The 14,241-nt window shown below is 43.9% G+C and overlaps 1 long non-coding RNA gene across 4 annotated transcripts; it reads right to left on the bottom strand.

Moving 5' to 3' along the window:
• Positions 1-3,866: 3,866 nt before the first annotated feature.
• On the bottom strand, positions 3,867-13,751 carry LOC105379539 (uncharacterized). Of its 4 annotated transcripts, XR_002958848.2 has the most exons (5): positions 12,791-13,656; positions 12,425-12,532; positions 11,596-12,322; positions 4,848-5,037; positions 3,867-4,762 (listed from the first exon to the last, which is right to left on the bottom strand). It is a non-coding gene; the product is annotated as an uncharacterized LOC105379539 (long non-coding RNA). The 4 variants fall into 4 exon arrangements; XR_001756140.3 differs by lacking the exons at positions 3,867-4,762; positions 4,848-5,037 and adding an exon at positions 13,663-13,751 and having other exon boundaries at positions 9,775-12,532; positions 12,791-13,300; XR_001756139.3 differs by lacking the exons at positions 3,867-4,762; positions 4,848-5,037 and having other exon boundaries at positions 9,775-12,532; positions 12,791-13,013; positions 13,176-13,656.
• Positions 13,752-14,241: the final 490 nt, after the last annotated feature.

Below are 14,241 nucleotides of genomic sequence, written 5' to 3'. Positions count from 1 at the left end.
CTATTTTAATAATAGTATTATTTTTAATCAAGAGAATATATAAATAACCTATTTTAAAAATTGTCCTGAGAGATCATTGCTAGTATTACTTGGAAAATATGCAGCATTAAAAGTTGAATTAAATTCCTGTTCTAAGTTAATGTTTTGTAGGTAAAAGTAATCATGGATTTACAAGGAAGAAATGGTGAGAGATCCTGGGGAAGACTTTTGCTTGACCAGGTCGGGAATCACCAAGGTTTAAAAGAAAACCACAGCTTCTCAGGCTCCTGATTTGGAGCTGCTTCCTGAGAACCCCCGTGTACTGAGCACCCCCCAGTGGTTCTGAGTGCCCCTGGTGTCATGAGCGCCCCCTCGTGGTACTGAGGGCACTGTGATATCCTGAGCACCCCTGATGCTTCTGAGCGCCCCCAGGTGTCCTGAGCGCCCCCTGGTGGTTCTGAGCTCCCCCAGGTGTCCTGAGCGCCCCCTGGTGGTTTGAGCGCCCCCCCCCCCCCCCGTGTCCTGAGCACCCCCTGGTGGTTCTGAGCGCCCCCTGGTGTCCTGAGCGCCCCCTGGTGGTCCTGAACACCCCCTGGTGACCTGAGTGCCTGCTGGTGGTCCTGGGCAAACCCTCGTGTCCTGAGTGCCCCCTTGTGATTCTGAGTGCCCCCTGGTGTCATGAGCACCCCCTCATGATCCTGAGCACCCCCTAATATCCTGAGCACCCCATGGTCCTAAGCACACCCTGGTGGTTCTGAGTGCCCCCAGGTTGTCCTCAAGGCGCCCTGGTGGTTCTGAGGAGCATCTACCATGCAGCTCCCTCCTGTCTTCCTGCAGAGATTTTTCTGTTGGGGCTCACACAGATATTCCCTCTCCTGTGTCTCTCACAGTATTACAAGGCCTTGTCCTTGACTTTCAGTTTGGTCCCTTTAAGGTAGACTGCACATTAAAAGGTGTCACTTGGGACTGTTAATTTATTTGTGCTTATGGAGAGTAACTCTGAGAACTCCCACTTGATCACTCACTGTTTCCACCTACACAAATCCCTGTCGTGAAGCTGGCTGGACCAAGCTCATTGCTGTAGCCAGTAAAGGTGAAATCAGAGGCTTTGCATGAGAGTCTCAGTGAGCCACTGGGTGTACAATTTTTCCCCCTCTGACTCCATCAATAAATTTCACACAGGACTTCTGCAAACACTGAGGAAATGGAAGAACGGCCCCATGTGGAGCAGCCGCACCTGGACCTGATTCACAAGGGACACTAATATTGAGGGTGATGAGAAGGGAAGCCCAAATCAGTGCAGATCCCACGGTGTGGACACTGAGGAAGGGAAGAGACATGGGTTGGCTCCTCGCTAGGGCCTGAAGGAACAGGGGATGAGCTGCCTTTCATGAGGAGGGGAGGGGACACATTTCCTTGTCTTTCTTTTTGTGGTCTTGGGTGCACCGCTCGGCATTGCTCATCCATCCTCTGTGTCTCCATTTCAGGGGGGCAGGGTCAAAGGACTCGTGGGTCTGGATGCACAGGGTTAATCTGCTGATTAGTCTTTTTTATTTTCTAGTGTGGACCCTGTTCAGGTATCTTCACAGTAGCAAACATTATCAAAAAAATACATCCAGTAAGAACTTAAAAATACATTTCCAGAGAAAACGGACACCAATCTCTAATCGGTGCATTTAGAGCTACAAACTACTGTTCTTGACAATAAGGCAAAGTTAAGGTACAATAAAAAAATGCAGATCTACACCTTGTCAGGGAGGGATTTTATAATTATTATCTTGAGATCATTTTCCCATAAAACAGTTCAACATTGGATATATCTGCTTGTGTCAGGGAACAGTCACTGTGGAAATATGTGTACTTATCAGAGTGAAGAGTTCACATGCAGACATGTTTGTCTGAGACAAGAGTCCACATGAGGAAATGTCATTACCAGAGGAAAGAGTAAATGTAAGGACATACGTGGTGGTCTGAGAAAAGAGTCCATGTGGGGACATATGTGTTTGTCTGAGGGAAGAATCCACGTGAGTAAAGGTGTGTTTGTCTGACGGAAGAGTCCCCATGTTGACAGGTGTGTGTACCCATCTGTGGGTAAATGCCCATTCAGGGACAGTGTGTGCCTGAACTGAGCTGAAGTTTGGGGAAAATCTTTATCAACCAAGGAAAGAAAAGAATTATCTGGGTTATTTGCTTGTCAGGAAGAAAAAACCTGGGTCACGTTGAAAATTGATTTTTTTAAATTAAAGGTCTTTAGTGAATGGTAACATCTTACATGCAAATGAGGAAAATTACTTCATTCTTTTTTGCATGCATCTCATGATATCCCCACCCTCACCAAATAAGTTATTAGATAACTTTATACAGTCTGCATTTAATCCTGGGTTTAATGAACTGCTAAATACTTTTTACAAAAATTGTATATATTTAGGTTTATATTTTCCATCACACAATTATGAGCTTAGAAAAATTAACTGCATCGTGTCTCAACCATTTTATAGCACTAAAAATAATTTTACTATTCTTAAACAGTGCCATTTTTACTTATTTAATACTCATTCTCTAAATTCCTTGAATATCCTCTATCTGTTTACTTGACTATAGTTTTGGTTTATACCGAATTTCAAATAAATGATATTATATGGTGTAATTGAAATGACTTCACTGAAGAAAGTAGAAAATGAAGTTGCTAGTCTAATTAACTTTGAAAATGAGGAAATTCTGTATGTTTAAAATGTAAAGAAACTACACATAGCACTCTATTCTAGTAGATAAACATATTTCCAATGAGCTTTACATTTCTGATACCGCTATGCATGTGTCCTAAAATTGTGCAACCAGGTAATAATAAGGCAATTGGTGGGATAGGATTCCTCACTTTAAAGTGGATGGTTATGGACAGTCAAGGAAGGAAGGCTAGAAAGGTCCACGTGGTAGCATAGTTGGGTCAGGAGACCAGTGTGTTCTCATTTTTAATATAATAAAGTTACAGAAGATTAGGTACATAAGTAGTTTTGATGCGTCCATAAACATGGGTTCATATAAACATGCACGTCTGCTAGGCCAGTAGGTTGAGAGGTCCTAGAAGTAATTATACACGGTATCACAGTTTTTTTTATTTTACTGCTATTCGTTAACGTTAGAAACAAGCAAGCTTTAGAAAAATGGCTAATTCTATGTACAAAAGAGGTAATATAGAAAATGAACTTAGAATTTGTTGTAATACAAGGAAACAGGGAAGTGTTCAAAAACAAAAGGATGAGGTGCACTGTAAGGATACAGGATCCAAACTAAATGAGCTCCCAGGACCTAATAAATCTGTGGTGATTTGAACGATAAAATGAGTAATATAGCATGGATCTTCTTCAGAGTATGAAATATATATTCATAAACCAATACACATATTAATAGATGATTATGAAAATAAATATTGGGAAGACGAACACATCTCCTTACAGAAGTATTCCAAATATCTGAGGTGAATAGTCCTCCAATCAAGTAGGTGAAGTTTAAACACTCATGAGTTGATTGTGGCCTGAGGTTAGACACATAGAAAAAATAACCACTATTTGGTATTCTATAATGAGACTTCAGATATAATGTCAAAAACATCATCTATGAATGAATACAATTTTACATGTTTTTGAATCTAAATTTGTACAAACACACACATACACACACAGACACATGCACACACACACGTATGTTTCTGCAATACACACTGATAAGGGAGTAAAGACAGCCACAGACTTGGAAAAAATACTTCCAAGTCACATATTTGTTAAATGAATTCTTTTAATTTGTTAAATGACTTTTATAAACAATATGCAAGTAAACTTACAATGAATCAAAACAAAGCAATGCATTTAAAATGAACCAAATATCAGGAGAGGCATCTCAACAAAAGTTATTGGAAAATTGTTAAATATGAACTTTTTGAGGGACATGTGCATTTAAATAAAAATTAGATCCCATTACTCACCTACTAGATTGGTTAAAACACACAACTCTCATAAGGATACATGGCAATATGAATGTGGAAAACCAAGAACTATCATGCATTGAGGGTGGGAATTCAAAATGCTACACGCACAAAAGGAGATTTTTTTGGCATTTTTAATAGATATAAATGCAGACTTAAAATGTGATTTTGTGTCTGTATTCCAAAATACTTACAGCACTGATTAAGAAATTAATGTTTACAGAGATACCTTCAGAGGAAGTTCTATATTAGTTTCATTAATTTGATTCATTCTCTAATCATTGAAATTTGTTTACAGAATAAATGTTGTATGAAAAATCTCTCAAATAATTAAAATTTCTCAAATACACATTAATATTGTTCCTTTTCTTTAATGACTTAATGTCATTTTCTAAGCAAATCTTTAATCTAATAATCTTTGTCATCTCCTCTGTGTCAGCACAGGTGTCTCCTTCCTGGGGTTTCTGACACTCTCAGGATGTGGGTTTTTGCACTGTGTCTCTCACACAGTAATACATGACCATGTCTTCAGATCTCAGGTTGCTCAGCTCCATGTAGGCTGTGCTCATGGACCTGTCACTGGTAATGGTGACTCTGCCCCAGAACGTCTGTGCATAGTGTGTGTTATCATTGTAAGGGTTGATTCATCCCATCCACTATGCCCTTGTCCAGGGCTTTGTCACACCCACCGTGTAAAGTATTTGGTGAAGGTGTATCTGGAAGCCTGGCAGGAGACCTTCACTGAGGACCCAGGCTTCTTCACCTCAGCCCCAGGCTGCAACAGCTGAACCTGGGAATGGACACCTGTGAGGAGAATGGAGGAGTTGATAAAAGCCCCCTTGACTGAACTCAATCCCCTCCTCATCACTGGTACTTGGGAGCCCCTTACCTGTGGCAGCTGCCACCAAGAAGTGGATCCCCCAGGTACAGTCCATGGTGAGGAGCTGTGTTCTCAGGGGCTTCTATAGAGGAGGGATGTGGTTGTTGGGTGATGCTCTCAGGGCACAGACATCCAAATTTACCTCAGTGGATCTCAGGTTATTTGCATATTCATGACATAGCATTTCATAGAAGAAAGCCTGGTTAATAATAAGAAAGGGAAGATAAATGACACATCAGATTTACAAGAGTGAGATGCTGATGGTCCAAGCCCTATTCCTGTTTGAGGAAATGCATGCCCTGCTCCATTTATGAACATTCATGAACAGAGGTCCTTTCACAGAAGAACAATCCCCCTCAGGACACGCTCCTCACTGTGAACCTACATTTTATAAGCACAGAGACCACCTGGATAATTTCTGGAACCATCACTCTCCATGACACTGAGCAGGTGCCGTGGTTCTGTCCTGGATCCATCAGTCACCAGCACAGCTGACTGATGACTGAGGAAGTTACTGCTCATGTCCCACGTGAGTGACCAGCAGGTCATTCTGAGATCTGCTGGGCACTCCTGAAACAGTGTCTCCAGCACCTGCCTGGTGTTCAGATCCCCCAGGATCTTCAATAGAAACACTCTTGTTTACAGATTTGCTCTGTGATGTGTGATTAGAGATGATTTTCTCATCTCAGGAACCATAAGAATCAGAAGCTGAAACGGTAGTTTCAAATTCTTTATGAACTCATTGCTCCCAAAATATTTGTCAAGGAATTTGTGTTTTGAATAATTTGGGGTTAATTTTGGACTCAATTTATTGGAATTTTTTGAAGTATTTATGTATTTTCAATTAATATCCATAGGTCCTCATCTTTACATATTGATATCTAACTCACCTGGTCTGTGCCCCCAACAGCCCAGACCCTGCCTTGCAAAGAGGTTCCTGCTGGGACTTACAAATCATTTCCCCCAAGCTTCTCTAGCCCAGCATGAAATGGCTGTGTCCTGGTTTATCACACTCCTTCAGTGACACCATATGCTACTGACACCATCTCTTGAAACAACTGATTAGCCTTACTAAACCTATTGAACTCTGCAAGGAGACCCAGAGCAAGGATTCAATGACACAGAAGGGAGCCCCTTCTCTGAAGCTCCAGATTCACTTCATTAGTGGAACCAAAATGAAGACAAAAACTTACAGGAGATTTGGGAGTGCCGTGTTTCTTCACTGGGCTCTTGCAGTTGAATGTTGCATCTGAGAATACCAGCAGGTGCAGATACATTCAGATGAAAGCCCACTCCATATCCACTATTCCAATAACACACATTTTCCCTTCTTCCTAATATGTAGCTTTTAGGAAGTGCCTCCTATGCTGACACTAGGCCCAGTTATCTGACTTTCTTCTCCTAGAGATTTAAAGCAAACAGGATACAGGTGGAGACTTGGGAAGTGCATGCAGGTTGTTATTTTCACTTTCTCAGCTAGGAAACCAGCAAAGTCCCCATAATAAAAGAAGCTGAGATCTATGATGGCATTTACAAGATGTTGGTCTTAAAAATCATGATGTCAGAGGCTTCACATTGCTGTACTGCCTTTGTCTCACCCTCTGTCATTGTCTTAGTGTTTCTGTATTCTCCTCAGATAGAGTCTGTGCATTGCCACACTTTCATCTTTAATCCATAGTCATCATCCTAGTTAGAATGGATTGTGCAGTGCAGGTAAGCACTGCCTGTTCTTCCAATGGAAACCTAGAGATTCGATAGGCTTCCTCTTCTGGGCTGTGACCTTGAAAAAGCATCTCCAGGGGAAAAGCTCATTTTTGGCTGTTACTCCCTTTTGTGGTTTTGGCTTCCCTGGACTATTTACGTACATCTTACCCCTTTTGGCTAACTTTACTCATTCATATAATAATGGAAGAATGGGAGAGAATCTGGAATGGGAGATTTGTCTTCCTTCACATAGGATAAGGTTCTGGAAAAGTCATTCCCTTTAGAAGCTTTTGAAGTAGGCTCCTGGTATAGTTTTCTGTAATTAATCATCTTCATTTCATCTTCAATTCTGACCCACAGGAAATTTATTTGGATTGTATATTTTAGAATCTGGAGGTTTCTGGAGAGAAAGTCCAGAAACCTTAGAAGTATAAGACCCTCTGGAATGGTCACATTTACCGAGTCCACATTTGTCTTTCAGACGTCTATAGTGGTTACCATATAAGTGCCTTCAACAGCTTGTGGCTTCTGCAGCTTCTGCAGTTTCTGCACCAGTTAAGCAAGTGCTAACTGCAATTCTGGACATGCCCATCTCTCCAGCTTTTGGAGTGGGTAATATTTCTTGCAATTTCAGTTATTTAGTAGATTCCAAAATGTATTGACATTCAGATTATGCAGATTTATTTTGACATAAAATATGACGGTGATGAAATTTATAATCAATATTTTGGAGCATAAACCAAAAGTACAATCAAAGGTCACCTTTGATGTGTTACTGGAGGCAGAATTCTGACCTTATTACATGTAGGTGGCACATCTGACATAAATAAACAGGCAAGAAAACAGAGAAAGGACCTGGCACAACACTGTGCCATGGCACAACTCTGGTTGCCCTTAAAACTTTCTCCTTCATTTCAACCTTGGTGAATCTGACAATTATGTGTCTTAGGGTTGCTCTTCTCAGCGAGTATCTTTGTGGTGTTCTCTGTATTTCCGGAATTTGAATGTTTACTTTCCTTGCTAGGTTGCAGAGGTTCTCCTGGATACTATCATGAAGAGTGTTTTCCAACTTGGTTCCATTCTCCCTATCACTTTCAGGTATACCAATCAAACTTAGATTTTTCTTTTCACATAGTCCCATATTCCTTGGAGGCTTTGTTTGTTCTTCTTACTCTTTTTTTGTCTAAACTTGTCTTCTATTTTTATTTCATTAATTTGATCTTCAATCACTGATATCCTTTCTTCCACTTGATCAAATCAGCTGTTGAAGCTCATGCATGCATCACAAAATTATTGTGCCATAGTTTTCAGCTCCCTCAGGTCATTTAAAGTCTTCTCTACACTGTTTATTATAGTTAGCCATTCATCTAACCTTTTTTCAAGGTTTTAGCTTGCTCGTGATGGATTAGAACATGCTCCTTTAGCTTGGAGAAATTTGTTATTACTGACCTTCTGAAGCCTACTTCTATCAACTCGTCAAAGTCATTCCCATCCAGCTTTGTTCTGTTGCTGGTGAGGAGCTGTGATCCTTTGGAGGAGAAGAGATGCTCTGTTTTTTAGAATTTTCAGCATTTCTGCTCTGGTTTCTCCCCATCTTTGTGGTTTTATCTAAGCTTTGTCTTTGATGATGGTGACCTACAGATGGGGTTTTGGTATGGATGCCCTTTTTGTTGATGTTGATGCTATTCCTTTCTTTTTTTTTTTTTTTTTTTTTTTTTTGAGACAGAGTCTTGCTCTTGCCCAGGCTGGAGTGCAGTGGCGCGATCTTGGCTCACTGCAAGCTCCGCTTCCTGGGTTCACGCCACTCTCCTGCCTCAGCCTCCCGAGTAGCTGGGACTACAGGCACCCGCCACCACGCCCGGCTAATTGTTTTTTGTATTTTTAGTAGAGATGGGGTTTCACTGTGTTAGCCAGGATGGTCTCGATCTCCTGACCTTGTGATCCACCCGCCTCAGCCTCCCAAAGTGCTGGGATTACAGGCATGAGCCACTGTGCCTGGCCATGCTATTCCTTTGTATTTGTTCATTTTCCTTCTAACAGTCAGGTCCCTCAGCTGCAGGTCTGTTGGAGTTTGCTGGAGGTCCACTCCAGACCCTGTTTGCCTGGGTATAACCAGCAGAGGCTGCAGAACAGCAAATATTGCAGAACAGCAAATATTGTTGCCTGATCCTTCCTCTGGGAGCTTTGTCCCAGAGGGGCACCCACCTGTATGAGGTGTCTGTTGGCCCCTACTGGGAGGTGTTTCCCAGTTAGGCTACACGGGGGTCAGAGACCCACTTGAGGAGGCAGTCTGTCCATTTTCAGAGCTCAAATGCCATGCTGGCAGAACCACTGCTCTGTTCAGAGTTGTTGGACAGGGACGTTTAAGTCTGCAGAAGTTTCTGCTGCCTTTTGTTCAGCTATGACCTGCCCACAGAGCTGGAGTCTGTAGAGAGAGTAGGCCTTGCTGAGCTGAGGTGGGCTCTGCCCAGTTCAAGCTTCCCAATGCAGTGGCTCATGCCTGTAATCCCAGCAATTTGGGAGGCCAAGGCCCAGGTAACAACAGTGAAACTCCGTCAAAAAAAAAAAAAAAGCTGAGGGGATTGAGGGGATTTCTATGCAAAGTGTGGATGGTGTGTTTTAATTTCTCCTTGCTTAATATAGTATAATGTGAGAGGAGATTGATAAAGAGGAAACTATTGGAAAATGTGGAATCAGGTATTTTATAAATAAAGAAGGTTCTCCCATCTTCTGGAAACCCCATAATCTTTTTAAAAATGAAGGAATTTTAAGATTTATTTCTACATTCTAGATACATGCCTAATATAAACTTGGATTTAAGTGCAAACAGAGATACATAGAAGATGAAAATTCTGCAGCAGATCATTTGCCAAATAGGCAGTTTTATATCAGTTTGTAATTTTACCTAAGATTCAAAAGATAAATGACAGACAGATCCAAATAATAAATTATAACATTTCAATGCTAGACAACTGGTTGAGAGGCGCTTGAACTGACATTATTCTGATGAATCATACCTCAATAATAAAACTGTATTGAATGGTGTACCTGTTCAAGAGGCTGCTTGAGTAAATAGTTTCTACCTCCCCTACTTAGGAGTCCTGCCACAACCCAACATGCTCTAAAACCTGGGGGCCACTAAGAACAAAGACAGAAGTTTGAATATTATGAAGTTATTATGAAGTTTTTGAGAGATCCACAATCACTGATGGGGTGATTGGTGAGGGTTTTCTCTAAGGGCCTAGGCTTGGAAGAGTATGGCTGTTTGTTATGATGAACAAAGAGCTGTTTTTTTTGATGAGTAGATGGCAGCAAAGACCATCAAGGAAAATGAAGAAATGGGGAAATATGGTCCAAACAGAGGGACAACATAAAGGTCCAGAAACTGGCATCAATGAATATAAAAGCATATGGATTTCTTGGCAGAAAATTTAAATATTACAATCTTGTTTAATAAGCTAGTGGCAGCATGCAAGAACACTGTGAGAATTTTAAGAGATAAAAAAATTTAAAAGAGAACTAAAAAAATTTGGTGTTGAAGAATACAATAAGTCAGCCAAAAATTTTTAGACAGCACACTGTAGGAGAGGCTCAGGCTTTCCTTTCCCCTACAGGAGGTAGCCCTGCAATTTCCTTAGACGTGAATCACTGTTTCCTCCCACCCACCTTCTAGATTCTCTTCAGAGATTCTCCCGACTCCAGAGCTCATGTTCTCACATGTTGTGCGACTTTGGGTTAAAACACACCTGAAACATTTAATGGCTGTTGTCCTTGATCATTTGATCATCATCTGCATTTTAGTTGATGTGATTTTTTTAAACCTCAGTTTGAAGGAAAGAAAAAAAAAATCTATAGACTCTATCTAGGCCAGAATTACTTCTCTCTCTTTCCCTTGGTAGCTGCGAATGTAGCCCCAAATATGATAGGAATCAATAAACACTGCAGCTGTTACAACACTTTCTTGGTCAGCTGTTCCAACAGTATGAGAACCACGGCAGCACAATTATTTTATGGGACTAATTCTGTTCCTACTGGAGACACATTTATTCTTATGTACCAGGACCTCCAGTCCATCGCAGCCTATGATTATGGAGAAGGAAAGAAACATTCTTCAAATTTTCATCATACATGTGGCAAGAGAAACCGATATTTCTGTCCACTGCTTTCTAGACCCAGGTATTGTAGCTCCTGGCCATGGGACACTGTAGTGCTCTCTGTTTGGGGGCATTTAAGCATCCTAGAGAATAGTATTATCCCCAAAATGGCCCTTCTTTATTAAATTTCCTACTATAAAACGGAAGCATAAACTACCTGCTGTTTATCTCACATCAGACTGTGGAGACCTAAGTCAATGTTTCCATTGTTCTGCTGGGGCCTTGTTTCTGGTCAACTGTGAGGGAGAAAGAACTGCTGGATCACAGACTCTTGTTCCCGTGATCACATCTCCTGTCCCTTAACTATATCTACATCCCCTCGTGTCAGAACATATTGTGCAGTGTCTCATTCTAGGAATAAGATATTCAGTAACTTGGACAGTGACTCTAGTAGCTTCTCTATGATTAAGAAAAATACATGTGAAGATAAGAGTTAATTCTTCTAAGTATAAATGACTACCTATCAGGTTTGGGCTTTGACTAAATTTTTTAAATTGTCTCCTTATGACTGGTGGGTATCCTTACAGGGTGTAATGATTTTGTTAGACAAATGTGATATCTATCACTATCAGCTCAGGCACTCGGTGAGAGGTGCTGGTCAGTCTGGTTGGCGGTATCTGTGCTCAGTCTTTATTGTACGTTAGGGAATGTGCTGATATAAAGAGAGAGGATGCTATCACTTGTGTGGCAATAATGATTAAACTGCAGAAAATCATCGTATTATGAGGTCTCCATACCCTCCTATGCAGCAGAAGAGATTTCCCTTGCTTTCAGCTGCTGGTTTCCTTACATTAAAATTTATTGCATTTCCTTTTACTGCACATTTTTTTTAAATTCTAAGATATTGTCTGCTTATTTAATTAAAGTAAGCACCAATAAATTTTAAAATTATCAATTACCTGTATAAGAAACATAAAATGGGTGTGGTGAAGATGCCGAGTAGAGATACCAGAAAACAAAACTAATAAAGAAACACATTGTGTAAGTTTAGAGTCATCACTGAGCACTGAAACCATGAGGAGCTTGTGTTGACTTTTATATTATTGAAAGTCTATTATATTTGACATCCAGAAGGCTGATCACACCAGTGAGAAAAATCTGTAGAGTGGTCCACACAGATCAGAAATTAGAAAGTGATAAAGTCACAAACTTGCACAACCTGCAGACATTCAGTGTAGTCAGCATTCAGCTCTTCCCATTTCTTCAGTGAAATAGATGGGTTACATCTGCATGGAAAATGGGACAAGTATTTTGTAAGCTGATTCTCCTGGGAAGTTGCTAATGAAATCAGTCAAGTGATGCTCTGACACAGGATTGTGAAGAGGACGTTGACCCCTGGTGGTCGCTGTCATCAACACGGGATGCTCAACGCTGGTGGGTGTCTTTGTTACTGTTTTGTTCACAAGAGATTTTAAGCTGTCATGTGCTGCATGCAGGTGAGTTTTTAAGCCTCAGATGAGGAAAATAACATGACTACACAGTAGATGAGAAAATTGAAGACCTCACTTCATCAACCACATTCCACTGATGAGACCTGTTCACACAGAGAGCCAGGGATGAGCTGGGAAGAGGAAGGGGCTGGGGAAGATCATCCATAGATGGACCCATCCAGCCTGCTTGAACTCCCTGTGGAAGGAGGGTGTAAATGTTTGTCCTCAACTGATAGCGAGTATTTCAAGACCTTCACAAGCTTTCAGAAAAACAGTTTTCATGAACAAGTGCCCATACGTTACTCAGAGGTGTACTTGTCATCATTTATCCTTCCTCTCTAGGCAGCACCACAGTAGCATGTTCTCAGAATTCTCCCTGATCCTCTGTGAGTTCCTGGTGCAGCTCCTGGAGGAAAAGCCTGCATGAGGGAGGGAGCCCTCCTCAATTGCAGCCCTGAGGCTGTCCCCAAAGTGCCATCAGCTCTCCTACATCCCTCTCGAGCCTCTGCTCTCTCTCCCTTCCACCCCCACCCCTTGGACAAGCAACATCTGAAAGTCTTCCCTGCCCTCGGCTCCCAGAGCTCTCTGGCGGTGGCCTGCACTCTCCCTCAAAGCGGCCCTCCCCCAGGTCACTGTCTTCCCTTCGATGACATCACGCGCCCACCCTGCGCTCCTGCTGGGCTGAGGCCCTCGGAGCCTACTTCACCGGGTCCTCTTCTCTCTTCTCTCAAAGGCCATGGGGTTTGCCTGCGGTCCAGCTGGGTTGGCCCTCTTCCCCCTGTCCTGGGTCCTTGAGTGGCCCCGCTTATTTAGGCCATCTATGAGTCACTTCTCTAACGCCCCTGTCTCCAGACCAGCTTCAGTCAAAGGCTGGGCCAGAGAAGACCCTAGTGAGAAACTTCTGATGAGCAGTGTGACCTTGCCACCTCAAGGGTACCCGCCCACCGCCCCTGGTCTAAGCACAGGTGACACCGCCTGTCTCCCCCAACCACACACACCCCTTGAGGCTCCTCCTCCAAGCCTGGGTAGGGACACTGCCCCTCCCTCACCCAGGAAGCTCAGTCTGGCTTGGGCCAGAACTGCTTTTCTTCCTAAAGCTGGAGGGATGGCCGAGGGCTTAGCTTAACGGGATGAGCCATCTGGGGACTGCAGTGTCCACGATCAGATCAGGGAGCTTGAAGTTGAGGGGGGCACACTTTACCTCCCAGGCCAGGAGAATGACCACTTCCTTCCCCACCCCACCCCCAGGCTACTCTTGCCCTAGAAAATTCTAACCAAGCTGCTCAGCTGGTGGCGGAGAGGCAGCCCAACAAGCTGGCTCTTGCTGGGTAGGCCTGGGGGTCCTGGGGAGAGGAACACGGGGTGGGTGGGGGGCGGGCAGCCAGGACCTCAGACCTGAGGCCTTTGGGGAAGGGTCTGTGCACCCGCCAGGCACCAGGGGGCAGCCTTGCCTTATTCCCGCTCCAGTCCCCTCAAGTCCGAAGCCCCTACCCACTCTCATGCCAGGCAGGGGTGGGGGCCACCGGGGTCATTTACCCGGGCCCCTTCTCTGCCTTGGTGACAAAGTGGAGCCTTGCTCATCAGTCAGGCAGGCTCCCCTCTGGCCACTGTGGAGACACAGAGGCCTGTCACCTGAAGAGCTGGTCCCAGCCTCCAGCTTCCAGGGTAGCCGGGAAGCTCTAGCCCCCAGTGGGCAGCGGTGGACAGAGCTCAAGGAAGGAGCGAGCACCGGGAGGAGACGGCTGCAGCCTGCCAGGAGCGGGGAGAAAGGGAGAGAAGGGGAGGCGGAGGGCTGAGGGGGCCCGGGGGACGTCTTCCTAGGGCTGGGAGGGGCAGGCCGGGAAGCCTGGGCCACACTAGGAGCGGGCGACCCTGGGGTGAGGGGCGGCCCGGAGCCCTGCGGGAGGAGCTGGCGGCCGCCCCAGGTAGCAACCATCCTGCCTCCCGCTGGAGCGGCGACTCCTCCCCGGGAGGAGGGCAGGGACAAGGGGGGCGGACTGTGACGAGCAGGGCGGGAGGGAGAGGGGGGCCGGCCAGCCGTGGGGGTGGGGCGATAGTGACATCATCCCGGAGTCGGTTTTTAAGCGGCTGCCGGCCGGGAACCGGGAAGAGAGG

The sequence above is a fragment of the Homo sapiens genome (genome assembly GCF_000001405.40).
Source record: "Homo sapiens chromosome 16 unlocalized genomic scaffold, GRCh38.p14 Primary Assembly HSCHR16_RANDOM_CTG1".
Classification (NCBI taxonomy): Eukaryota; Metazoa; Chordata; class Mammalia; order Primates; family Hominidae; genus Homo; species Homo sapiens.
The sequence above is the reverse complement of the archived record's forward strand: the minus strand, read 5'-3'. Positions and strand labels throughout refer to the sequence as shown.